Source organism: Homo sapiens, chromosome 10, assembly GCF_000001405.40.
Source record: "Homo sapiens chromosome 10, GRCh38.p14 Primary Assembly".
Taxonomy (NCBI): Eukaryota; Metazoa; Chordata; class Mammalia; order Primates; family Hominidae; genus Homo; species Homo sapiens.
Genome location: NC_000010.11, coordinates 131,629,997 through 131,656,551, shown reverse-complemented (window position 1 = coordinate 131,656,551; position 26,555 = coordinate 131,629,997). Strand labels below are relative to the sequence as shown.

Below are 26,555 nucleotides of genomic sequence, written 5' to 3'. Positions count from 1 at the left end.
CACGTGGCTCCTGTGTGGTGTGTGTCTCCTGCGTGGCATGTGGATACCATGTGGCATGTAGCTCCCGTGTGGCACATGCTCTTGTGTGGTAGTCTGGCCTTTTTTCCTGTTCTCCAGGCTCAGGGCTGGCTCAGGCTGAGGCAGGTGAGGGTGGGACCTGGGATCAGGGGTCCCGGGGGTTTGTGGGTGGCCTCTGAGGTCTGCCTCATTTCCATCATCTTCTCTTATTGGTCACTGTTTTGTGTGTTACTGAGAACCACCTACAAGGACAAGAACAGATTCCAGAGAATGCCTCTTCCTGGACCAGGGAAAGTGCGGGTTCCAGCGAGACTTCTGAGAAGCGTCACGTCCTCTGATGAGTCACCTGGCCTGCAGGTTTCAGGGACCCATTTCCAGGATTTCCTGGGCTCGACAGGCCCCATGAGCCCCATTTCTACAATCGGGAGTCTGTGTCTGTTGAGGAGGGGTGGAGGGAGTTGTATTCTATGGGTATATGAGGAAAGGCTAAACAGGATAGAACCTGGAGCATAAAAATGGGCTTCTAGGAAATGGTGTAAGCTAAAGAGAAAAGTGAAAGAAAACTCTCCCCTGGAAAGCTACAAATAAACAGAATAAAATGAGTGGAGTAATATTCTCCGGGACCTGTTCTTAGAGAAATTCTCTGGAAATGTTTTAAAGTGAAATTAATACTTCATACTACCTTTAATGTAAGCATGATTTGTTTTTAATGTTATATTAAATGTCAATTTGCAAAAAAGATTCCGTAGGTACCAAGGATCCTGCTTTTCCCAGGTAAAGGCAACCTGACCATGTTGGCTGTGTTTTAATTAAACCTGGGCCCCGGCCAGAGTGGCTCCCTGTGCAGGGTTCTCATCAGCAGAGGCTCTGTGCTCACGGGTGAGTGGAAACACGTTCATGGGAAAAGACTGGAATTAAATTGTCTTCCTGGGCGGCCCTGCATTGGTCAGCAGAGGTGAATCCCCTGCTTCCCCCTTTGGAGGGCACTTGGCCACTCCTCCTCCACTCTTCCCCTTGTTCCAGAATTTCTAGGCTCAGCGCTGCAGTGGGACCCTGAGCTGAACAACCCGACACCCAGGCTCTGCTCCAGCGAGGCCTTGCTGGTTTCGCTGGCTTCCTCTAGGACACCTGCACTCTGAGTCAGACTCCGCTCCCCAGAAACAGCCCCGGGACCCTGGGAAAAGGCACTGGCCAGGGAGGTCACGACCTTGACCAGCTGACCAAGTGCAGGGCACAGCTTGGCTGCCAGCCAGAGACTTTGCCTGGGGCTGTGTGTGCGGCTTCTGTGTTCAGGGAGGAATGAGTCTCATCTCAACCAACTCAGAAGCCAGCACTGCTCCAGCTTTTATTGCAGGAGGATTCCGGAAACTTCCATGACCTAAGGAACGTGGGTAAATGCAACAGAGGAAACAGAAGCAAACCAGGACAGGCCGAGAAGCCAGGCGGGAGAGCTGTGGCCTGCCTGGGCTCACCCTGACACCGCACAAGGAAGCACAGCCGGACTAGCGTAGCGAGGGCGCCCAGGCCTGCCCTGCACCTGCGGGAACCACTTGGGGCAGGCTCCTGTTTCGTGACACAGGCTCCTGTTTCGTGACACAGGCTCCTGTTCCATCCACGGGCAGGGTTGGCCCCGCGAGGCCCACAGACATGGGTGGAGCTCCCTGAGGCACCCTTGCTGGGTACTCCGGGTGCAGAAGGAGGCGTTGGACACTGCAAGGCCAGGAGGTGAGGTGCTGTCCAGGCCCTGCCATCATTTTCAGCAAACCTGCAGAGCTGCCCTCTGCGCCCCAGCCCCCTGTGTGAGGAGCAGAGACGGCTGTGCACCCGGGAGGCCAGTGACGCTCCTGGACGCAGCATGGGGAGGCTGGATGCATAGGGTCCAGGGCGTATGCATCCTGCTCCTGGCCCTGTTCCTGGCCAGGCTGGCTGACCCTCACTAGCCGCTCCACCTGGATGCTCTGGGGGCACCAGACCCAGCCTCTCAGAGGGAAGCAGGGCCAGGAAGAGGCAGGCACTGGCCAGGGGCTCTTGGAGAAGCGGCCCTGAGAGTAGGGGCCAGCCCATGCCAGGCTGGGGCTGAGGGTGTTCAGCTCTGCCCTGGAGTCCTTGACCTTTGTGGGGGCAGCCCCTAGACCCCAAATGTCCACAGCGTCTGCCCCTCCCCAGGGTGCCAAGGATGGCTCAACCCAAGGACAGCAACTGACCTAAGGCTGCTGGTGCCCAGTGGACTCTGACGTGGGCTGTATGCATCAGTGAGTGTATGTGAGGGTGTGTGAGTGTGTGTGTGTGCAGGAGGGCAGTGCGTGTCTGCTGCTTCCTTGTGTGTGCATGTGTGAGTGGTGCCGTGCATGTCTGCTGCCTCCATGTCAGTGTGCGTGTGCCTGTGAGAGTTGCCTCTGTGTGTGTTTGTGTGTGTTTGAGTGGTGCCATGTGTGTCTGGTGCCTTTGTGTGTGTGTGTGTATGTGGGTTACCATGTGTGTCTGCTGCCTCCTTGTGTGTGCATGTGTGTGTGTATGTGAGTGTGAGAGTGGTACTGTGTCTGTGGCCTCTGTGTGAGTGGGAGTGTGCGTGTGTGTGTTTGCATGTGTGTGTGTGCTTATGAGTGCTGCCATGTGTCTGCTGCCTCTGTGTGAGTGGGGGTGTGCATGTGTGTGTTTGCGTGTGTGTGTGCTTGTGAGTGCTGCTGTGTGTCTGCTGCCTCCATGTGAGTGGGAGTGAGCGCTGGAGCATCTGAACTCCTGGTCCCCCCAGCGGGGACTCTCCCGCCTCCTGTTGGAGGACGCCGGATGGGTGCTCCCCTGGGAGGGATGAGGCAGCCTGTCTCCAGCCCTGCTTGCACCAGTGCATGCACATGGACCCCCTCAACCTTCCCTGAAGTCCAGAAGGGAGGCCTTGCTAGGGATCCTGTGGTTCCCCTTCCACAGATCTCAGGGCTCCTGGAAAGCCCAGGAAATTCGAGCACACCAAGGAACAGACTGTGCCCCCTCTGCTTTCCAGGCCTCCATGCATTATCCTCCTAGACTCGGGGCCAGCGGGGAGGGAAGCGTCCTCAGCCTCAGTGGCAGATGTGGAAATGAATGATTTGCTGGAAAACACAGAGCTAGTGGATGGTAGGGCTGGGGTCTGAACCGTCGTCGGGCTGAGTCCACCATGTGTGACTTTTCGTTCTATGCCACTGCCGTCTGTGTGTGGGCAATGCCAGTTGCCTCCCCAGGTGCCGGGTCATGAGTGGATACAAGGATGAGCCCAGAGGACCTGTGCAAGGTCAACAGGTAGTGCCCAAGGTCAGCACCTAACATCCCCCTGCCTGCTGGAGGGGGCGTGTCCATGGCCCACCGTCTGCGGCTCCCGTCCAGCCTCTGGGGTGTGGGGGCCTCCGTGGTTTATTTAGGTCTATAACAGTCTTTCAGGCAAGCGCACTCTGGAGGGACCAGGGTTCCTCCCACACAGATCATAATTTCAGTCCCAGAATCTCATTCCCAAGAAATATCGTTTAGGACCCCAAGGAACTTTTAATTAACTCAGCCTTTCGTGGAGCCAGTAAATGCAAATAGCTAGCGATGAATTCCTCAAGTTATCTGGGATAAATGATGGCTGTGGAAATGATCTCTCTTAAGAGCCGTGGGAATTCGTGCAGTTTGAAGGGAGTCTGAGTTTCTGAGTCTGCCCGTGCAGCACGTCCCCTGGAATGAGGTTTGTGCTCTGCCTGCGTTCATTTTTAGAGCAAAAGAGAAGCAACACCGAATTAAAGTGTGTTACGTCTGTGCCTAATAGACGGATTACCAATAAATAATAGGCAGTTGATGTGCCCTGCGAACAGGCATTTTGGAGGAGGAACCAGGTACCGCCTTGTGGTGGGGGACGACACCTGGGCAGGCGACAGGGGGCTGGTGCCAACCCCTTGACTTCCAGGCAGAGTCAGTCTCAACTGCGGAAGTGAGTTGACCCGCCCTCCACTCCGCTCCGCGTGTGGGCTGATTGCTGGGTGTTTCCACTCCAGGCTACCCTGCCGACCTGTCCTTCCAGAACCTGGTCCCCACCAAACCACCTTCCCAGCAAGGCTTTCTAAAGGGAGTTCTTAGAATTTGGGATCAAAAGCACAGAAATGAGAGCCCATATAACAATAGGGAAACAGCGAGACACAGACCTTGTTTTTGAAGCTGGAATGTGAATTAAGCTCAATTTGGACGGCCTCGCTCGAGGTGCAATAACTCTAAATTAGCTCTAAAGGAAGGATGGGCGGCTGAGATTGATGCTCGCGCCTAAGAAGTAAACCGCGCTTATTGGTTTTATCTCCGCCTTACAGGAAACAGCCCTTAATAGAGGGGCATTTACTGTCACTTCCTGAGGAATAAAGACATTAAAGATGTTTGATACTTAAAATTATGTTTATGTTGTCTGTGAAAATGTGATAAGTACCCCCCATAAAAACAGCAGAGAACGCCTCTTCTGCTAAGTTGCAGATTCAGAGCCTCATCTGGAAAGAGCTCCCGATGCACTGGGACGCGTTGCCTGGGAGACAGCTCCAACCAGCCGCAGGCAGGGGCGTCCCAGCGAGGGCCCAAGGGGCATGTCTGCCCCGGCCCGCTGGGGTACATCTCCGAGGGCCCTTTCCCTGCCCTCCCCTTGCCAGCAGGGGCCCTGGCCCTGGGAATAGACGAGGAGTCTCCCTGAGTGGGACCCGCCCTGCTGCCAGCTCTCAGCTCAATTGCTGGGTCTAATTTGGTAACAGGCAAGTGCAAATTGCTATCAGTGCAGCTGCAGTGATCAGGAAGGAGATTCTGAGGATGTTGTTGGAGAAAGCCCTTGCCAGGGTGGCTTTGCCATTTATATGCAGATTTGCTAATGCAGATGAAGGAGGGAGAGATGAAGGGGCCTAGGAGTGCTCTCCTTTCGAGTCTCCTTGAGGTCTTAAGTGATCAAAATGCAAATGTATATGAACAAGGAGGCAAAAGCAAGTATCTGAGCTTTGTTTTTGACAGGAGCTAAGCACGATGCTGCTTCTGTCACTGCCAGGGCATCAGACCACGTGGGCCTGGAGAGAGCCACAGAAGCCTCCTTTACCATGGGCTGGAAGGGACCAAGGCTCAGTGACACCAAGCCCATTGTCACAGGACCCAAAAGCCACTCTCACTTGTGTAGCTCTTCATTCATTCATTCATTCATTCGAGCACTGGGTGAGCTTTTCTCAGGAACCAGTCACTCTGCTGAGGGTCAAGACTGTAAAGATGATGTGCGCAGTTCCCTGCCTGGAGTGGTTTCAGTGTCCCGTGGAAGTGGTCACGTAATCAGGAAACAAAAGACCACGTCACGTGGGGTTTGAGGGAGAAGCCAGGGCCCTGGCTGAGCACGGGAGAGGGAGCATTTGGGATTTCTGGCAGCGTTGGATTGAGGTTTACGGGACCCCTCAGCTTATCAGTCAGGCGATGGCTTGCACACCTTGCACGGCTTTCCTGCAGCCTCCCCGAGCCCCCTCTGGCTCAGAAGGAACCTGCGCTCCGTGGGGATGCTGGAAGCTGCCCATGGGCCCCGCTCCTGCCCTGTGCTCGGCAGTCAGGAGTTCCCAGGTCAGGGGGTGTGCAGTGGTGCTGGCGGGGGCAGAAGTTGCTCAGGGCTTTGTCAGCCTGAGCGTGGTGGTCACCGCGAGTTTTGGGAGGGTGTTGGGCAGAGGTGGTCAAGGGCAGGTGAGGAGGCACTTGGCTCCTGGAGAAGGTGCTGAGGCAGCCAACCTGGATGGACCCAAGGATAAGGGCTGGCCATGTGACTTCCTGGGGGACTGCCAGGCTCTAGGGTCTCAGGGCCCGGATCCCTGCCCCTCTGTTTCCTGTTGGCCTCTGTTTCCTCGCCTGTAAACAGGGATGTTGTTACTGCCTCCCTCACAAGGTGAGGATTACATTGCTCAGATACAGCATCCAGCCCCGAGCTGCTGCACCACACACAGTCCCAGGCTTTGCTGTTGCTACTGGAAGCGGGAGCCCGGAATTTGGGAGCTGGCGCAGCTCCATCGGTGCCAAGATGGATGAGGCTCTGGGGTCAGGGGTCCACGGAGGAAGCTGAGTTTTGCTTCCCATCTCCTTCTGAGCCCAGGGCACACTTAGAAGGTGAGGCCAAGAGAAGAAGGAGCCCAGAGCAAATGCCTGGCTGCACGTCCGCGGGAGCCCAGTCAGTTCCTGGCCCGGCCTGGCCTCTGCCTCAGGGGACAGCTGGGGTTCCAGGAGCAATCAGGGCCCAGCTGGAAGGACAGAACCTCACGTGGCTTGAGTTCTTCTGACTCTCATTCTTTGTGGGGCCACCTGGGCATGATTTAGCAATCCTCTCCTTGAATTAATCCTTACATAAAACATTTAAATAATAATCTTAAATGTGCAATGACAAGTAATAAAGCTAATTAAGGGTAATTAGGAAGTCTTTATTAACTTCCTAAGTTTATTATTATTAACTTCCTAAGTTTCCTAAGTTTCATGGGAAACTTCTAAGATAGGAAAATAATGAAAGATCAATATGGCGAGGGGACAGGACTCAATGTGACTCTGTAAATCAACGGGGGCTCACTCGAAAGTAGAATATTTCACACTCGTAAGGTGAATTAATCTAAGTGTCAATAAGGAAAAACAATTACAACGTGGAAAGTAGCCAAATGTCCCTGCAGGACTTGTGAAAACACAGACCTTGAGGAAATGCTCTCCCGGTGAGGCGGCAAATGTTTGCTGGATTGGGGACCCACCTGGCTGCCCCAAGGTAAGTGGCCATAATAATTATTGCAAAACAGGTTGGTAAACTCAGGGCCCATCCATCTTAGTCAGTATCACAGGTTTTAACAAATGGCACCTGGGAAATTAAAATCCCCTCTGACTTCTAATATAAATGACTGATAATTAATGTTCACTTAGGAATTTCAAATATATTTTAGTGTTCTTTGCAACATAACACGAAGTGGCAATTATCAGATCTGGGCTAGTGACATATAGTAGTATGTTATTCTGTTGATTTATGGTTTACCATTTCTGAACATTATGTTAATATTCCAAATGCCAACAAGTATATGCAAATCCTATTTTGTAAGACGGAGAAAAAAAAGGATGACCCAAAATATTCAGTAATGCACCAAGTGTAGTGCCCGAAGCTTAGTGACAAACTGTGAGCAGAAAGGTTCACGCACACCGTGCCACGTTTCATAGAGCTAAGTCAGGCCTGTAACCTTTGACAGGAGGGGCCAGGCTTGGAAACTCAGACTGAAACTATCAGCAGGTAACAGGTAATGGGTGCAGCCTGTCTCAGAGGGCTCAGACGTCATGCCTCACCTCCCAGGAAGGAGGATAACCAAGGAGATTTCAGAGGGGCCACAGCATCCTCTTTGATTTAGCTCGTCAGACAACACCAAACCAAGTGGCGGTTGTCGGGGTGTTTCCAAAACACATTTCTCCTATTGTGAAAGTCAGGCTGTTGTAATAATATAATCCTGGATTTTTGGCCTGTCTGGATTTTTTGCTACAGTTGCCTGGATGCACCTGCTCTGCTCAGCTCCTCTACAATTTCTCTTCTTATCTGTTTTCTCAAGGGCATTGGAGGCAGGAAGGCATGATCCGAAGAGAGGAAATTGTTCCAACTCAAACAGCATCTTACTGCCCAGTGTGTGGCTGGCAGTGGTATGAGAAGACCAAACTCTGGGCTGTCCTGAGAGTCGGCAGCCCTGGAGGAAGCTGGGGCAGGGCCTCTGTCCAGCCAGCAGCAGGGGGACTCAGAACCCCTACTGGGCCACCTTTACATGTGTGTGCACGTGTATGTACACAAGTATGCACACACAAACATATATATCATCTGAATATGTGTGTGCACATGTACGTACACACGTGTGCACACAAACACACATATATCATTTGAACATGTGTGTGCACATGTACATATACATGTGTGCACACACAAACATATATATCATCTGAACATGTGTGTGCACGTGCATGTACACACGTGCACACACATATAATCATCTGAAAATGTGTGTGCATGTGTATGTACACACGTGCATATGCAAACATATATGCATGTGCACACTTATATGTTCATATATGTATGAATAGATATATTTATATAGATCTAACTTCTAATTATGGGTAAAAACTTATTACAAAAGCAAAACACAAGGTAAAGAAGCAAAATTCACAGCCACTGCGTGGTTCACACAGACCATCTCACTAAACCCTAATGGGGGTTCTCACCTTCATACCATCTTAAGAACAAAACAAACCAAGAATGCAGTCTGTGGTTCATGGAGGTGAATCATAAAGTGTGTCCAGGTTGATGAGCTGTTGACATCAAGGGCAGGTCAGGCTGGAGTGCCAGGATTCGGTGCTGAGAATGCCTAGATACCCATGGCACATGTGGCCTGCCTTGTCTGGCCTGAGGATGCCCCTACAGGTGGGCCCGTTAGCCCTGATGTCTGCTCATTATTCTAACGGCACTCCATCTGCCAGGATGACGATGTGGGCCCTGGAATGCTGGCGTCACAGGATGGGCCTGAAGGGAAATGGGAGGCGCTGGCGGGGGGCAGGGTTGGCACCTGCTTTTCAGGGCCTTCCGAGGAGCAGGGGGACAGAGAGCAACAGGTGATCATGGAGGCTCTGGAACACACAGGGACAGCTGGCCTGGGCTTGGGGTCTGGGAGGGAAAGCTTCCTGGAAGAAGTGGCACCTAGGATGAGACCTGCCGGGGACTCGACTGCATTGAGGCAGAGGAAGGGAGACGGAGGAGAGGAGGGAGCCTGCTGGGGGTCCGCAAAGGCCTGCAGCAAAGGGCAGGATGGGGAAGCCCAGCCACGAGAGTCGGCTCGTTATCAGAAGAGGAGGAGGAGATTTGGACTGAGAAGGAGAAGAAAGTCTTGAACCCAGACACCTTGGAGTTTTTAAAATTTCAGAACGGAGGAAATACCAGCCAGCCCGTGGATCTGTTGGAGAGGTTTGCTAGAATCACACTGACCTTCAGCAGATGGCAGATCACACTGTGACCGTCAGCAGACGGCAGGACAGTAATTGTTTCCCGAACTTAGCCAAAAAGAAGAAAAAAAGCTCTTTCTGATAAAGGGTCGTTATGTCTCCACAAAATCTGGGGGCTCCTGCTGGAAGAAGCACAGAGGTGGGAGGCACCCTCAGGCGTTCTGTGAGGTGCTCTGTCCCCTTCCCAGCCTGGAGTGCTTCACCGTGGGTGGAAAGGACCCGCTCACACCGCTTTGCCCTGGCCTGGGCACTAAGGCAAGGCCAGAGGCCCCAACTCCTAGTGGCCTGGATGTAGCTCTGTGTTCTGTGAACACAGCAACCCCGCAGGTTAACTTGTTAACCTCTCTAATCAGGAGAGGTGACGTGCCCACCTCTTTCTCTTGGCACTCAGAGGCAAATGCCAAGAGGCAGGCATGAAGTAACCTGGGCCAGCGGCCGGCTCTCCGCTGGAGTGGCAATGCCTGCAAACAGCGGCCCGGCTCTCCGCTGGAGTGGGAACGCCTGCTAGGGGCCGGCTCTCAGCTGGAGTGGGAATGCCTGCAAACAACGGCCCAGCCGGGGATCTCGGGAACCTGAGCAGCACAGGGTTCAGAGGTCAGAAGAGTGGGCTTCCTCCAGGTGGCAAGGAAGGGGTGGTTGGTGAGTCCAGGTCAAAAAAGCAAGCTCCTCGCCCCCGTAAGTCTGGTACCCGGGGAGGGGGAAGGACAGGGAAGCCCTGGAGAGGAGAGGGACAAGGCTGCGAGGCTGGCGTGGATTGGATGCCATCAGTGTGACCAATGCTACCCTAAGCAGGGTGTCTCAGCCCTGAGAACACACCACAAGGAAGGTACTGGGGTCTGTATTTTACAGGCGCGTCTTAGAGGGGAGAAGCAAATTTCCCACGCTCCCCTCAAGGAAGCACTGGATCCAGACGTGGAATTCCGCCCTGCCCAGGGCCTCCTCCACACCAGGTGATTCCAGGATGCCTGAAAGGTAAACACCACCTTGATGAACAGATGGTTTGTGGGAAGAGGTGGGTAAGCGCCTCTCACTGGGATGGCGCTGCTGGCAGAGGCTCTGTGAGACCCCAAAGCTGAACAGGACCAACGTGGGTGCAGACGGGTTGGCTGAGAACCCCTCAAGTTCTCAGGAGAGAAGGTCATTTTCCGAGAGCTTTTTATAGCACCTACCATGCAGCCAATTTATCCAGTCACTTAGTTTCACAGCACAGGAGAAGATAAGTTAGTTAAGTCGTAATAGTATAAGACAATAATTTCAATTTCTAAGGTAGAAGAGGTTGAAGGCAGAGCCTCGGAAATGAAGGGCAGTGAGTTCTGAGTGTGTTGGTGCCTGGTGAGGACCAGGGGCACCATGGGAGTGTGTTCACCGAGTCCCAGCCTGAGGGCAGGAAGCCTGACTGTGCCTGGAAGTGGAGGTCCTCCCTGGGGCTGGGTCATGGAGACCTGGGCGCAGAGCCAGGCCAAGAGGCATCCCCGCCATGTTCTCAACAGAGCACGACAGCGGTTCCTGAGGAAGGTGTTAACATCACTGCTGTTTCCTTTTGCCACAGGCCTCGGCCAGCCAGGTGAGGAAAAGGAGCAGGTGGAGGGGCAGCTTGTGCTCCTGCCAAGTTGGCCCTGCCGATGGCTCAGGTGGGCTGGCTCAGTCCCTCCCCTCTCCCCTCAAGGCACACACCCTGGCAGGATATCCCCGAGGCTCCATGTGGAAGGAGAAGGAACCTCGGGCTGGTCCTGTCTGTGGCCAAAGCCCCCACCAACCCCAGCGCTGCTGTTAGCCTCTCGTGTTAGCGCGACAAGGGTCTCCTTAGCAGGGGGTGCCTCCCGCTGGGGCTGGGGGGATGGACTCTGGGCTCTGCAGAGCCAGCAGCTCAGGGATGACACCACAATAGGTGGTTAAAAAGAAGAGGGTGGGCTTGTTCCACAGTTTAAGGAAAAAGGAGGAAGAGAAGAAGGAGGACGAGAAGTGGGTGTTAGCACAGTCAGTCTGGGACCTAAGACCGCCCTGGCACTTTTCACCAGCAACAGTCCACAAAATCTGGGGACTCCTGCTGGAAGAAGCACAGAGGTGGGAGGCACAGTGGCATCCTCTCTGGCCGACCCCTGGAAGCCCTCCAGGGACCCCGGCCCACCTGCCAGGCGGGTTGAGGAAAGTGTCCCTCTGAGAGCTGGGTGTGCTACAGAGGTCCTCATGCACTCACCTCTGCGGTCTCAATGACATCAGTGTTGTGGCAAAATGGTTTTGAGCACTGGACAACCGAATGACAGGTGCTGGGAGCACAGTTCATTATTTTGTCTCATTAGCAACAAGGAAATACCAAATGGCTCAAGGGGAAACCCACCTGGAAACAGTGTCCTGAAGGCAGGGCTGTGCTGGCGGGTAGGAAGGGGCGGAATGTAAAGTGAGCTGAGCTGCAGTGAACAGTTCTCTTTTCACGGGGTAGGGAGATATGGGAGAAGAGCTTCCTGACCATCCTTGCTGTGTTTTCCTCAGCAAAGTCCTTCCAAAGGCAGCCCGGGGTCACTGTGTGAAGCCACCATTTTTAGCATCCTGGCTGCTGCCGGGCCACAGAGGCACCAGCCAGCTTTAGACTCCTGGAAAAGCAAGGAATTCAATCCCTCTTCCACTCAAATGTGGGCTCCCAATGTTCTCTGCAAAGACTGAAGTGCTGCCATAATTTATAAGCTGGAAAGAAGAGGTGCATTGTATCGATTTTAGGAGTGTGCTGAGTCTTTTTAAGCTCATGCATAATGAATGTTCTTTGACTTTTTTTCCAAACAAACTTTCAAGTGGAGCTGTTGTGACGATGGCTGAATGTAGTATGAAATGCACGCCATGAAATGGAACAGAGACAATGGCTGATGTGAAGAGGGAGTGAGATTCCTGCCCTATTACGAACTGGAGGAGCTTCCCACCACAGCCCAGGGGAAAGCCTTTGGCCGGCTAAAGACCACAGCACGTGTCGGACCTCCTCCTATGGGCTCAGGGCCCCTCTCCGTGCTGCCTCTCCACCGGCAGCTTTGTCCAGGCAAGGAAGCCTGATACAGGCACACCCCCGAACTGGGGCTGAGCCCGGGAGGATTCTTGGCTTCCTGCAGGAAAGAATTCAAGAGCAAGTCAACGGAGTAAAGTGAAAGCAAAGCAAGTTTATTAGAACAAAAGAGAACAAGAAAACGGCTGCTGCACAGACACGTCAGGGTTACCCACAGGCAGGGTGGCATGCGTGGATTCCCGGCTGGCTACGGTTATACCTAGTCCTAATTCTGTGCTAAATAAGGGGTGGGTTATTCATGAACTTTCTAGAAAAGGGGTGGGGAGTTCCCAGAACCACGTGAGGTAGGTTCCAGGGCATTGGCAAACTGTCATGGCGCTGGGGGGAGTGTCTTAGGCAAATGTATTATAATTCCTGGTCCCAGCTGGTGTTGGCTGGTTTCTTTGCTACATCCCGTTTTGATCAGCAGGGTCCTGAAAATGAGTCCTGCTGATCTCCAGCCTTAAGCCTGCATCTAAACACCAGGGGTGATGTGCAGACCTTCAGTGTACACACAAAACTCCACTCACGGGAGATGTTGGGCTGTATGGCTATGCTCAACTTAAAATGTTTAAAAACAGGCCGGGCGCGGTGGCTCACGCCTGTAATCCCAGCACTTTGGGAGGCCGAGGCGGGCGGATCACGAGGTCAGGAGATCGAGACCATCCCGGCTAAAATGGTGAAACCCCGTCTCTACTAAAAATACAAAAAATTAGCCGGGCGTAGTGGCGGGCGCCTGTAGTCCCAGCTACTTGGGAGGCTGAGGCAGGAGAATGGCGTGAACCCGGGAGGCGGAGCTTGCAGTGAGCCGAGATCCTGCTACTGCACTCCAGCCTGGGCGACAGAGCGAGACTCCGTCTCAAAAAAAAAAAAAAATGTTTAAAAACATTTTTATATTTTGCATTTCTTTCTATTTTGTAAAAATTAATGCATCTTCTACATTTCATGTACTTTCACTTAAGAACAAGATACAGTTCCTAAACAAACTTCATTCATCCTAAAAACGCCTGAGTGGAGACGGGGCACAGGTGTCACCAGCCCCTCCCAGTTTTTTATAAGCAGACTTGGACGCTAAAAGGTATTTAGTTTGAGGTTGGGACATAGAAAGTCAATACTGACTGTGGGGTTGGAGCAAAGCATTCAGGCTCAGTTCAGGTCACTTTTAGATTCTTCTCCTCACCCTCGCTCTACATGTCCTCACCCGTGGGCATGTAGAGTGGGTGGTCATTTCACTCCCTCTTTCATGTGGCCTTGCAGGGTGCTGGAGTCAGTGAGCTCACGTCCCCACCCATGGGTATTGGGCTTGGTCATGCTTCTTGCTTTGTCTGATGGAGTGTAAGCAAGTGTGACTCAAGAAGAGGCCTTCAGTGTGCTGGTGTGGCATGGTCTGGCTCTTGTGCTGGTGGCCTGCCAGGAGATGAGAATGCCCAGCTAATCTGAGCCCCAGAAACCCACAGAACAAATGCAAACCCGGCTGTGAGTAGAGCTGCCCAGCAGGGCCCAACCTGGGTCAGGCTGAAGCACATGGGCCTGCAGAGCCATGCACACTAGAATGAAACCATCGTTGGAAGCCAGTGATGTTTTGAGACTGTTCACTGTGCAGCATTATTGTAGTAGCATTTGGCCAGTCCAGGAAATCACAGAACAGTCTACACGTGTGGTCCTGCATTTGTAAGAAAAGCTGCTATGTGTGGATCGAAATGATTCTTTCATATTTGTGCCTGCATATAATTATAGAATGACAAACAATAGAAAAAGAGTGTTTCTATTTCTAAAGGGGTGGTACAATTATGCAATATTTTTATTTGCTCTTTTATGGTTTCTTATAAACACGTAATTTGTGTACACTTTTTTTTAAAAAAAAACACATTCTTTGGGGAGAAATCATGAACTCTCCTTTAGCTATGCAAATATCTCTGAAATCATAACATTAAAACTTAAACCTCCATCAGGGAGGCACTTTCTAGAATACTCTCTAGATAGGGTAGTGGCCTTGCCTATTTTACTTCCCCATAACATAGCACATGGAAGTATCTGATAAATGTTCATTGAATTAAATCAAAGGCTATTCACATATTGCCACCCAACCTCTATTCCCTGAATACGGTTCTCAAAAATTATCAGGCTGACAGATTTTTATGTGAAATTCACCTATGATATTAGCCCTTTCCAATTCCAAAATGGCTCAATCAGAAAACATTGACTGAATCTATAAAATGCAAGGGTTAAGGTGAGTTTCTTCCACTGAGGGATGGTGGCAACTCTTCTTTCTTTGCTTGTTGGTTTCTTCTCAGTGACTTTTGATCTTAAGATGAGAGGCTGTGTTCCTGGCCACTGGTCCTACAGGGGGAGAAGCAGCAGGGTCTTGGCATTGGTAGCACAGCTCTGGTATAGTCTAGAAACAGGTGTCTTGCTCCCCTTGTCCAGTGAGACTGTGAGTGTGGGGGGGAAGGAGCTGAGACTTGTGGCCAAACAGCAGCACACTTCCGGCCACGTCTGCAAACATCTCGCATGTGCTGGTCCACGTGGCAGGTCTGTGGCTGCTGCTTTCTTAAATATCATACACCACACATAATTTTTGTTATTAATACATGATAGTGAGAAAAATAAAATATTGCACATTTCCATTATTTTTGCAAATTCCATGCTTTTGTTTATACTATTTTTGAGGGCACATTTCTTTCCTCCTTGGGGACATTTCTAGAAATTTACCACTCTAGTCTGTATAAGGATATAAGCCTTTGTGGCCCATGTATACAGATATAGGCCTTTCGAAGAAATTTATAAAAATACGCAGATTCGCCATATCCGGAAGTAGATTTGGATGATTTCAGCAGCAGCAAACATGAACAGGGCTGTGTTCCCACAAGGAAGTGGCTCCTGTGAGTCTTGTGGGAGCCCCTGGGGACTTCTGGTGCCCTTCTTTTTACTGCACTCCAGGCAGGGAGCTTTATGCTTGAACTGCTAATAGTTTTCTTTGAAAATCAACATTTCCGCATGTTCTGATTTGACCTGAGCACAACCTGAGCAGTGGTGTGGGGCCACGTGGTGCGGGTCTGGCTTTAGGTAAATATGGAACTCTGGTGTGTGTGTTTGCTCAGGCTTAACACATAGAGAGTGGGGCCCTCCACCTGCGGTGAACAGGAAATGCTGGGACACTCACAGAAAGTGACAAGCTTTCTAGAAATGAGCCTAGGGAACTCCCCTCCTGGGGTGACCTCAGCATATTTGACTCCTGACACAGCTTATGCTTTTGCTGTATCCCAGAGCTTTTTGCATGTTGTGTCTTTATTTTCGTTTGTTTCACAGTTCTTTCTTTCTTTATTAATTTCATTGTGTACCCAAAAGTCATTCAGGAGCAAGTTGTTTAGTTTCCTTGTACTTGTGTGGTTTTGAGAATTCCTCTTGGTATTGATTTCTAATTTTGCTCCACTGTGGTCTGAGAAAATGCTTGATGTGATTTCAGTTTTTTGGAATTCATTTAGACTTGCTTTATGACCGAGCATGTGGTCAACTGTAGAGAATGTTCCATGCAAAGAAGGGAAAAATGTATATTCTGTGGTTGTTGGATAGAGTATTCTGTAGATGTCTATTAGGTCCAATTGGTCATACATCTAGTTTAAGCCCAGAGTTTCTTTGCTAGTTTTCTGCCTTGAGGATGTGTGTAGTGCTGTCAGTGGGGTGTTGAAGTCCTCCACTATCATTGTAATACTGTCTATGTCTGTTCTTAGTTCTAGTAGTATTTGTTTTATAAAACTGGCTGCTTTGATGTTGGGTGACTAGATATGTAGGATGAACCCTTTATCCCTTTTTTATATTCTTTGTCTTTTTTTTTTTTTTTTTACTGTTATTGTTTTAAAGTCTGTTTTATCTGATATAAGAATAGCAACCCCTGCTCTTTCTGTTTTCCATTCGCATGGTAGATTCTTCTCCATACCCTTACTTCAATCCCCTGGGTGTCATTACATGTGACATGGGTCTCTTGAGGGCACCAGGAAGTTGGTCTTATTTTTTAAAATCCAGTTTGCCACTCATTTAGGCCATTTACATTCAAGGTTCGTATTGATATGTAAAGTTTTATTCCTGTCATAGTGTTGTTAGCTAGTTGCTTTGTAGTTTCAATTGGGTCATTGCTTTATGGAGTCTGTGAGCTTTGTACTTATATGTGCTTTTATGGTAGCAGTATTACTCTTTTGTTTTGTTTGCATGTTTAATACTTTTTTGAACATTTCTTGTAGATCCAGTGTGGTGGTGACAAATTCCCTTAGTGTTTGCTTGTCTGGGAAGTACTTCATTTCTCTTTTGTTTATGAAGCTTGGTTTGCCAGGATATGAAACTCTTGGCTGGATTTTTTTTTCTTTAAGAAGGCTAAAAATGGGACCTTAATCTCTTCTGGCTTGTAAGGTTTCTGCTGAGAAGTCCACTATTAGTCTGGTAGATTTTCCTCTATGTGTAATTTGTCCCTTTTCTCCAGCTGCCTTTAAGATTTTTTCTTTTGCATTGACCTTGGATGGTCTGAGGACTAAATGCTTTGGGGATGGTCTTGTACAGTATTTTTCAGGAGTTCGTTGAGTTTCTTGAATCTGGATGCCGACCTCTTGTGCAGGTTCCTTCTCATCAGTGGAAGCTGTTACCTCTTATTGTTGAACTTACTTTTGTTTGAATGGGATCCCCCCTCCAAGGGTGTGACTGTTGCCCCTGCTGGGTAGGGCCCTTTGGTTTTGGTTCTATATGATTTTAGGGGGCTTAGGCTCTGAATGAATTCCTTGGTTATAGACAGCCTTTGTGCAGTGGGTTTCTAAATGTTAGTTGTAGGTTGTAGTGGCAGTGTGCTGTGTGTGTGATCAGGCCACATTCCTTTTCCCCTGTCATCCTCCATAGTCAGCCATGTTCCTTTCTCCCTCTGTCACCCTCCAGCTTCCACCCAGCAATGCTAAAGTTGGGCTCCATGGTCTGAGAGCACAGAAATGTAGAATTATGCTTCCTGGCTTTCCTCTGAGGCCAAGTTCCACAGGGACCTTCGGTTGAAACTTTGGTTGACTTTATTTTCTCAGCATGAAGCATAAGCTGAGAGCTCAGGGTCTGCTGGACCTTGGGCCACCATCCTGTCCTTTCACAAATTCTACCCTAGTTGGCCCTGGAGGAACTCACAAAATGTGGGTTTGAAGGTATTTCTCACTGCTGATTCGACTGCCAACGCTTGGCTGACAATGTGCTGCTGCTGTAAGGGGATTTACCAAGCAGAAGTTCCAAAATCTTTTCATTTTGGCAGCTGGGGATTGGCCCTGTGCCATTGGCCTGGCCGGCAATGGAGGTGCTGGGTGTGTGGAACTCAATTGTGATCATCTAGCATTCTGAGGACAAAGGGACAGGATCTGCCTGTGAGCCCCAGCTTTGTGTGGTCATGGCCACCGTGTTAGAGGAATGGAGGTTTCTCCAAACCACTTGGCTGGCAGCTCCTGCTGCTCACACAGGCCTGGCAGAGCGGGGTGGATAGGCTGGTGTTTGTTTTGCTTGCATGTTTAATACTTTTTTGAATATTTCTTGCAGATCCAGTGTGGTGGTGACAAATTCCCAAAATTTGGCAAAAGCCTGTGTCACCGAAGGGAGCATCACACATTCTGGGAGGGTCACAGCAAACACGTTCAGATCACTCCATCACAGCCATGCTCTCCCCTTGGGAGGGCGACTTCCATTCCGCTCGGGCCCTGAAACCATGAGGCTCCGTGTGCTGGGATGAGGTTCCAAGAAAACCGTAGGCCCTCAATCCTTAGGAGGGGCCCCTCTCCTCCACATCCCAGCCTCTGTCCTCACCTGCCACCACCTGCTCCGGAGGAGTCTGCTTACTGGTGCACCTGCAACATGCCCTCCACTTGGTCTTGTCCACAGGACACTCACTTATCCCCAGGTCATGGAGTCAGAAAAAGTCAAGCCAGGCACCAGCTCCGCGAACACCCCTGAGGAAGGGTCTCAGTGTGCCTGGGCAGCATGTTACAGGTTTCCAGCATGGTTGAGTAGATAGGGTGAGATGGGGAGAGGTGGGACCAGCTGCAGGGCAGTGACACAGAACTGACAGTCGGCTTTCAGGTGATATCACAGTCTCCATCAGTGTCCAGAAAGAACAATGCAGTGAACATCCCTCTCATTCCAAAGAAATGCCTGAGGCTGGGATCAGACCCAAGGAGGACACCACACCCACCAGATTCAAGCAGAATGACCCAATTCAGACGCGTTTCCCCAGTGATGACCACCCTGTGCAACCCTTTAGGTGCTCCACTGACTGGAGACCGGGATGGGGGCACTGTGGTGGGTGAGTGGGGCTGGGACAGGGGTGTCCTGTGGGGTGAGCGGGGCTGGGACAGGGGTGTCCTGTGGGGTGAGTGGGGCTGGGACAGGGGTGTCCTGTGGGGTGAGTGGGGCTGGGACAGGGGTGTCCTGTGGGGTGAGTGGGGCTGGGACAGGGGTGTCCTGTGGGGTGAGTGGGGCTGGGACAGGGATGTCCTGTGGGGTGAGTGGGGCTGGGACAGGGGTGTCCTGTGGCGTGAGTGAGGCTAGAATGGGAGTTTCCTGTGGCTGGGTTGGGTTCACTCCACAGCACTGAGCTGCAGAGGAGGGGAGGCCTGAGGGATGCTGTACCCTGCAGAGCAGCTCATGCCTGTGAGACTCGGGATTTCCAAAAGTCCCTTTGGGTCTGACTTGAGGAAGGGCAGAGATTCCAGGTGGGCCTGTGGTCAGTGCCTTTTCACCCCATTTATAGTTTTTGTCCTTGTTAGGGCAGAATCTGCATATGTAATCTACACTCTTTACCATGTTTAGGTGACAGTTCAGGGGTAACAACTGCGTGCATGTTCCTTTTTCTCCTTCTTAGCCCCTGCCCTTCCTATCCCGGCCTCTGGCCGCCACTGGATCTGCTATCCCTCCAAGCAGTCCACTGTCTCAGCTCCCTCAGAAGCATGCGATCCTGCGGCATTCTCTTCCTATGCCTGGCTTATTTCCCTGAGCATAAGGACCTCCAGCTCCTTCCGTGTGGTTTCTGGAGATGGCTCAGGAGAGAGGCTGTGGATGGCTGCTGAGGATGTGGCCTTTCCCAAGCTGGCCCTGGAGGGGATCATGGCGGGTAGACCTCAAGAGAGCAGGTGGTGGGAGCCCTAAACAATCTGTTCACAGGGGAGAGGAGGGAGGACAGCGGCGCGGCGGCAGTGCCACCGTTTCCTTCTCTGTGACCACTGGACGTGCGTACCAGGCTCAGCAGCTGCTGCCCTGGTGGCAGACAGCTGGCTGTGAAAAGCAGGACACCACCAACCCAGCCTCTAAAAGGAAAAGGCTGCCAAGAGAGTTCCCAGCAGACGCTTGTCAGGAATTATGGAACATGAGCCTCACCACAGGGGCATCGGTGCTGACAAATGCAAATTTTCCCATCATTTTCACTAGCACACTGCTCCACGGCATGGCCTTCTTGACCTTTGGCTCTGTTTCTCCCTCCAACAGTGCCGTGGTCAGCGGCGGAGCCCACAGCTTCTTCCTACCGTACCCCCTTGACTGACCTCTCTGGAGTGTGGCCGTGACCCCTCCATCATTTTCCTAAATGACCAATTAAAAATACTTTTTCTTCACTCCTTTCCTCACTAATGAAGGACTCATCGATTGTATTAAATTTAGAAATTAGCTAAGCCACATTAATGAGACAGCGCCCCTGTGATGTGGGGATCCAGGTCCACCTGCTGCGTGCCTTTCTGTGACTTGTGTACATGCATCAGAAAAGGCTCTCATTGTACGTATTTTTTTAACCCTTTCCTCTCGATAATACCTTGCAAACACTGCACAGACATCAAATATTCTCCCACAACCTAGTGTTTAGTGACTGCTTGGAGTCCCCTGCCCCAGGTCTATTAGTTAATCAGTTAGTTCACTGGCTGCTGTTGGACACCTGGGGTATTTCCAGTGATTTGATTCGAGGTTGCAGATGACACCGTGGTGAGCATCCTCATAGCGGACTCTTGGAAGACATCCACAAACGTCTGCTGAAGATGAGCTCTTGGGAGCTGACACTCAGGACACTGTCCTGACCATTTCCTCTCTGGTGCATGAGGCCCTTCTGGAGTGAGGGCACATGCACCCGGGGGAACTGGGGAGTGGAAAGCTCCAGGAACCACCCTGGTCGGGAAGAACTGCCTCCAAGCTGTGAGATTTCACCCCTTGCCCAGCTCATGGAAGGGGAGTGCTGGCTCCGGGCAGACCCCCGACTTCTGGGGCCGTGTTTCCAGCTGCCCACGCCGAGGTCATATCCTCAACATCAATTCACTCTGTTGGACACAGACCTTTCATTTCCCTCAGACAAATTGGACTAATCTCATTTCCCTTCCAGTACTCTCCACCGTGGATCTTATATCCCTGTTGATCCAGTCGTTGTGTAGGAAGTCCTGGGTTGGCCACCAACTCCTGCCTCTCCTTCATCTTCCTCTCCAATCCGTTTCCAGCTCCCTCTGCAGTGCCTCTCAAACCAGCTTCCTGTCTTCAGCCACAATCACCACTTCTGTTCAGGTCTTTTTCCTGCTGCTTAAAACCTTGGCATTGTCTCCATGCCCCAGCCCTCCAGAAAGGATTGGGACAATTATTCCATGAACAGCAGCAGCTCCCACCCTCGGAGCAGTGATGACGGGCCAGTAAGTGAGTCAGAGGCACTGTTCTCATTCTGTGGCCAGTCAGTGAGTCAGAGGCACCTGCTCTCATTCTGTGGCCGGTCAGTGAGTCAGAGGCACCTGCTCTCATTCTGTGGCCAGTCAGTGAGTCAGAGGCATTGCTCTCATTCTGTGGCCAGTCAGTGAGTCAGAGGCATTGCTCTCATTCTGTGGCCAGTCAGTGAGTCAGAGGCATTGCTCTCATTCTGTCACTCAGTGCTCATTAGGACAGCCCTAAGGTTGGTATCTTATAACCACTTCACAAACAAGGACACTGAGGCTGAGCATTCACACTGGTAATCATGGCAGAAAAGGGGCACAGAATGGTGGATTCTGGAGCTAGAATTTCTAGCTCCGGAATTCTGGGTCCATCACTTACTAGCTCTCTGCCTCCAGCTGGGTGTTGGGACCATCCCTATCCAAAACCTCAGCATTATACAACATGCCATGTAACAACCCAGCACATGTACCCCTGAATCCAAAATTAAAAAATTAAATTAAATTAAAATTAAATTATATATGTGTGCATGTGTGTATAGATTATTTTGCAATTAAAAAATTATAGAGGCAAGATATATTCATGATTAACATTTTGTGATACTTAAATAAAAAATACATAACTGATTCATGCTTTGTGTAATTCTAACTTGTCATGGATTCATTATAAAAATGTGCCTTCCATTAATTATTTCAAAAGTAGGAAGTCCAGCTCATGATACAAATGTATAGAATGGAATAGTCAAATAAGGCTGAGCTGTCTTCTCACGAGGTTAATTTATAAATTCCACATTTAGAGCCTATAAAATCCTAAGAAAATACATTAAGAATAGATGTAGACACATACCTAGGTGGTGAGCACGGCACACAGCAGGTAGATTTTCAGCCCATGCCTCGCTCCCTCCCTCTGCTGTCTGGTAGACCCAGTGTCTGCTGTTCCCATCTTCACATCTATATGTATTCAATGTTTAGCTCCCACATATAAGTAAGAACACGTGGTATTGGTTTTCTGTTCTTATATTAGTTCGCTTAAGATAATGGCCTCCAGCTCCATTCATGTTGCTGCAAAGGACATAATTTTGTTATTTTTGATAGGTGCATAGTATTCCATGGTGTATATGTACATGGCTCTGATAGTGGTGATGATCTTGCCGCTTTTGTAAACCTGACAAAGTCTTTGAATGGTATTTTTGTTAGTAAAGAATTCTGGTTTGACGGGTTTTTCTTTTTTTCAGTGCTTTAACAATCTTGCTCCACGGTCTTAGCGTGCCCTGTGTCCAGTGAGAAATCTGCTGTGATTCTTCCATTTGTTCCCTGGTGTTTATGTATCTTCTTTTTCTCTGGTTGCACTTATCCATTTCAGAGGTATTCCAGGAAATAGATGGTAAATCTTAAATTCAAGGGGGTAGCATGAGATTTCATCATGTTACTTGGAATGACATAAAATTTAAAACTTATGGATTGTTTATTTCTGGAATTTTCCATTTAATACTTTTGGATGGCAGTAGAATGTGGGTAACTAAAATCATAGAAAGTAAAACCGTGGATGGGGGAAACTATGGTATATGCTGCCTATAAGAAACACACTTTAAATATAAAGACATGGATAGGTTAAAAGTAAAAAGTGGAAACAGATATACTAACACTAATAAAAATAGAGTTGGAGTAATTCTGATTGTAGCAATATCAGAGTAAATTTCAGAGCAAAGAATATTACTGTGCATAAAAGAGTTTATTTCATAATGATAAAGGACTAATTCATCCAGAGGACATAACAATTTTAAATGCATATGCACTTAATAACAGAGTTCCAAAATACATAGAGCAACAATGGATACAACTACAAAGAAAAACTTAACATGCACAAAATTTAACTTAAAATAGACCCAAAAAGAAAACTGAAAAAGGAGACAATATAAGAGATAATTTTTGTGTCCTTGGGCTGGGCAAATATTTCTTACATATGACATCAAAAATACGACCCATAAAAGAAGAAGAATGATATATTGGGCTTTACCAAAAGTAAGAATATCTACTTTTTGAAGGACATCATTAAGACAACAAAACAGTAAGCCATAGACTGGGAGAAAGTATTTGCAAGTTATATTTCTGACACAGGACTTGTATTCATGATTTAGAAAAAACTCTGAAAACCCAAAAATAAGAAAATAAACAGTCCAGTAAAACAATGGGTAAGAGATTTGGATGCTTCGCTAAAGAAGATAAGCAGATGGCAAATAGGCACTCAGAAGATGTTCAACATCATTACTCATGGAGAAATGCAAATTAGAATCACCACGATATCCCACCATAAACCCACTGGAGTGTCTAAAAGCAAAAGACTGACCATACCAGCTCTTGGTGGGAATGCGGGTGAACTGAAACTCCCACACATTATTAACATGCTAGTGGGAGTATAAACTAATATAACTTTGGAAAACATTTTGGCAGTTTCTTAAAAAGTTAAAGATAAACCTACTATACGATCTGGCCACTCAACTGCTAGGTATTTTACTCAAGAGAAAAGAAAGCATGTGCCCATATAAAAACTTGTATATGAACTTACTTTCACAGAAGTTTTATTAGGAATATCCCCCAAATGGAAGCAACTCCAAGTTCACCAGCAGGTGAAAGAAAAACAATGAGCATGTGCATTCAAGGGAATATTACCCAGAGATACATAAAGAATGATGTATTATTGATAATGCGACAACATGGAGGAAACTCTAAAATAGTTTGAGTAGAAGAAGCCAGTCGAAAAACAGTGCATACTGTATGGTTCAATTTGTAAAAACTTTTATCAAATGCAAATTGGTTTATAGTGACAGGAAGCAGAAGGGGGGTTTCCTGGGATGGAGGGAGAGGCCTTGGGGAAGGCAGGAGGGATTTAAAAAGAAGCTTCTTTTGAGGAAGGACTGGATCTGTTCCTTACCTTGACTGTGGTAATGATGCCTTGATGTGCGCAGATTTCAAAACTTATCAAACTGTGCAGTGTGTGCAGAACAGGCAATTTGTCAAGTGCTAATTGTACCCCGATGAGGTATTGGCAAGAGCCACTTAATTTTTGAAAATATCAGTATATGGCCAATTCTTTTTAAAATTTTTTTTAACTTTTATTTTAGGTTCAAGGTACATGCGCAGGTTTGTTACGTAGATAAACTCGGGTCATGGGGGTTTGATGTACAGATTATTTCATTGCCCGGGTACTAAACTTAGTATGCAATGGTTATTTTTTTCTGATCCCCTTCCTCCTTCCACCCTCCACCCTCAAGTAGGCCCCAGTGTGTGCTGTTCCCCTTCTTGTGTCCATGTGTTCTCATCATTTAGCCCCCACTTCTAAGTGAGAACATGCAGTATTTGGTTTTCTGTTCCTGCATTAGTTTGCTAAGGATAATGGCATAGAATGGGAGGAAATATCTGCAAACTATATGCATCTGATAGAGGTCTAATATCTAGCCCTATAAAGAGCTTAAACAAATTTATAAGCAAACACCAAACAGCCCCACTGAGAAGTGGGCAAAGGACATGAACAGACACTTTTCAAAAGAAGACATGGCCAATTCTTGGCATACAAAAGCTTCTAGAAAACTGCCCGCCATCCTGGAAATGAGTGGACAGGTGAGCCCTGTCCTCGTCACCACAGTAGAGGAAGGCAGGAGAGGCATGAGACGGGATGAGGGTCCGTGAATAATGCTCCCATGAAGACCGCCTGGCCCTGCTGGCCACCACAGGCACCTGGCAGGTGACAGAAACGCCACGATAGGACCACCTGCCTGCTCACGAAGACCACCTGGTTCTGCTGGCCACCACAGGCACCTGGCTGGTGACAGAAACGCCACGATAGGACCACCCGACTGCTCACGAAGACCACCTGGCCCTGCTGGCCACCACAGCCACCTGGCAGGTGACAGAAACGCCACGATAGGACCACCTGCCTGCTCACAAAGACCGCCTGGCCCTGCTGGCCACCACAGGCACCTGGCTGGTGACAGAGACGCCGTGATAGGACTGCCCGCCCGCTCCCCCACGCCCAAGCTGCTTACCACAGATTAAATGTGAAAGGCATCTTCACCCCGCAGTTGCCTCACAGGTCACCGTGAAGCAGAAGGAAAACCAGGAAGGCTTGCAAGACAATTTAGGTAGAAATTGCTGCCCCTGATTTATGACTTTAATTAAGAGCTTTTTAAGCTTTAATTAAAAAGGTACATGAGCATTCAGTATTCAAGAAAAATGACTTTGTGTTTGGGTCAATGGAATAACATAAAATAAAATGAGATACATATTTCTAGTCAGAAGCTTCACATAAGAAAGCTATGTACATAATTAAAAAGTAAATTTAAACTGATTTGGGCATAAAGTCTTTATAATGGGGAAGGGGGCTGAAAGGAATATATTTTTCCTCAATTGCAATATAGTTGGATATCAGATTTCACATATCAATGAAGTTACTTTCTGGGATGAGACCAAGGTGAGAGCATGGACAGCGTGTGAAGTTATTATTGATGGCAACCGACGCCCCTCAGTGGGCTTGGGCAGCCCCTCCACGTTGCTGGGTGTGGAGGGTGTGTCCTTGGTCTCTACCTCATGGCTTTATCTGCTTTGTATTTTCCTTTGCATTTGTTTGTTTTGCTCCTCAGACCTGGGAAACTTCAGGGAACGGCGCTAGGTCAAAGTCTTATTTAGCAATGTATGAATCTCCCGTGTGAATCAGCTCAGGGACATGGCGTCCAGAAGGAGGAAAAAGCCCCAGAGAAAGTCTCTCACCATGCCCTTGGCCACAGGTGACCTTGGCAGAGGTCGGCGCTCTGGGCCTCAGGGATGCCAAGGCTTTGCTGTGAGCTGAGGTTAAGAGTGCCCACGTGTTTGCTGTAGGCCCATAGGAGTGTGAGTGAGTGGTAGCAGGGAGGGTAACTCCAAGGCACAGGCTTGCTCTTTGAACATCTGCCCTCTGGACCTGCTGGCCAGTGGCAGCAGGAGGAGGGGGCAGTGACAGTGCCAGTTAGCTCAGAATGGTGAGTACCAGGCACTGGCCACCCTGTGGGCTGCAGAGCCTGCAGGTGCCAGTGTCTGAAGGGTTGTATGACCCACCAGTGCCTGATCCACAGCACTCCTGTGATGCTCCACTCAGTGGCCTTCTGCATTCACAGTGACCTCCCCACCACGTCCCTGGGAGGTTACTGGAAGGCGTCACTCCCCTGAGCATCACTGGAATCTCATATGGTGGCCTGGGGTGTGTTGCAATTCTGGCCAGGGGATCAAAGCTGTGCAAGATTTCTACATTTGTGCTGTGTCCTCTGATTCCTCAAACTATCCCTACAGTGTCTTTGCTAAACCTCCTGGACACTGCCCTGTGGGGCTGACGTCTTCCCCTAAACTCCCTTTTTTCTTAGTTCTTGATTTATTCTAAAGAATTATGTCCCATCCTGGCTTTGTGGTCTGGCCATTGGCTGGAATGGAACTCCAGAGTCGGGGCCTTGAAGCAGACGGTCAGCTCCCAGTGACTGCCCAGCGTCGCTAAGCCTAGTGGCAAGGCCGCTTGGTTGCTCCCATCGGAAGGAACTATGCATTTAGAAATAGGGCTTTAACTAATTAGGTGAACTGTTTGTTCCATAAATGAGCAACAAAAGGACTTAATCAGACATTGCCTTCAAACAACAAGCTTGAATACTGCATTTAAGGGCTATTCATCTTACAGAAGGATTTCTCCCTGCCCATTTTCAGGGACCTGTTTCTGTACCACGTGCTGTCTACCTGCAGTTAGTTAGGTGAGAAAGGCTTAAAGCATCAGCTTACCCTCCCACCCATCGATCACATTTTCTCTTACTTTATGATGTGCTGTGATT

The 26,555-nt window shown here is 49.3% G+C and overlaps 9 annotated features.

Annotated features, from left to right (window-relative positions):
• Nucleotides 4,440-5,132: an enhancer, noted in NCBI's record as "OCT4-NANOG-H3K4me1 hESC enhancer chr10:133483756-133484448 (GRCh37/hg19 assembly coordinates)". NCBI's record gives its function as "activates a minimal SCP1, AML or CMV promoter by ChIP-STARR-seq in primed H9 embryonic stem cells {active_cell/tissue: H9 hESC(primed)}" and the evidence as "EXISTENCE:reporter gene assay evidence [ECO:0000049][PMID:30033119]".
• Nucleotides 8,104-9,067: an enhancer, noted in NCBI's record as "NANOG-H3K4me1 hESC enhancer chr10:133479821-133480784 (GRCh37/hg19 assembly coordinates)". NCBI's record gives its function as "activates a minimal SCP1, AML or CMV promoter by ChIP-STARR-seq in primed H9 embryonic stem cells {active_cell/tissue: H9 hESC(primed)}" and the evidence as "EXISTENCE:reporter gene assay evidence [ECO:0000049][PMID:30033119]".
• Nucleotides 9,068-10,032: an enhancer, noted in NCBI's record as "H3K4me1 hESC enhancer chr10:133478856-133479820 (GRCh37/hg19 assembly coordinates)". NCBI's record gives its function as "activates a minimal SCP1, AML or CMV promoter by ChIP-STARR-seq in primed H9 embryonic stem cells {active_cell/tissue: H9 hESC(primed)}" and the evidence as "EXISTENCE:reporter gene assay evidence [ECO:0000049][PMID:30033119]".
• Nucleotides 14,847-14,996: an enhancer, noted in NCBI's record as "active region_4217". NCBI's record gives its function as "activates an Ori minimal core promoter by ATAC-STARR-seq in GM12878 lymphoblastoid cells {active_cell/tissue: GM12878}" and the evidence as "EXISTENCE:reporter gene assay evidence [ECO:0000049][PMID:35858748]".
• Nucleotides 18,791-19,291: an enhancer, noted in NCBI's record as "H3K4me1 hESC enhancer chr10:133469597-133470097 (GRCh37/hg19 assembly coordinates)". NCBI's record gives its function as "activates a minimal SCP1, AML or CMV promoter by ChIP-STARR-seq in naive H9 embryonic stem cells {active_cell/tissue: H9 hESC(naive)}" and the evidence as "EXISTENCE:reporter gene assay evidence [ECO:0000049][PMID:30033119]".
• Nucleotides 19,292-19,792: an enhancer, noted in NCBI's record as "H3K4me1 hESC enhancer chr10:133469096-133469596 (GRCh37/hg19 assembly coordinates)". NCBI's record gives its function as "activates a minimal SCP1, AML or CMV promoter by ChIP-STARR-seq in naive H9 embryonic stem cells {active_cell/tissue: H9 hESC(naive)}" and the evidence as "EXISTENCE:reporter gene assay evidence [ECO:0000049][PMID:30033119]".
• Nucleotides 20,153-21,352: an enhancer, noted in NCBI's record as "P300/CBP strongly-dependent group 1 enhancer chr10:133467536-133468735 (GRCh37/hg19 assembly coordinates)". NCBI's record gives its function as "activates an origin of replication core promoter dependent on BRD2, BRD4, P300/CBP, MED14 and CDK7 cofactors, with strong dependence on P300/CBP, by STARR-seq in HCT116 cells {active_cell/tissue: HCT116}" and the evidence as "EXISTENCE:reporter gene assay evidence [ECO:0000049][PMID:35650434]".
• Nucleotides 20,733-20,862: an enhancer, noted in NCBI's record as "active region_4216". NCBI's record gives its function as "activates an Ori minimal core promoter by ATAC-STARR-seq in GM12878 lymphoblastoid cells {active_cell/tissue: GM12878}" and the evidence as "EXISTENCE:reporter gene assay evidence [ECO:0000049][PMID:35858748]".
• Nucleotides 20,923-20,972: an enhancer, noted in NCBI's record as "active region_4215". NCBI's record gives its function as "activates an Ori minimal core promoter by ATAC-STARR-seq in GM12878 lymphoblastoid cells {active_cell/tissue: GM12878}" and the evidence as "EXISTENCE:reporter gene assay evidence [ECO:0000049][PMID:35858748]".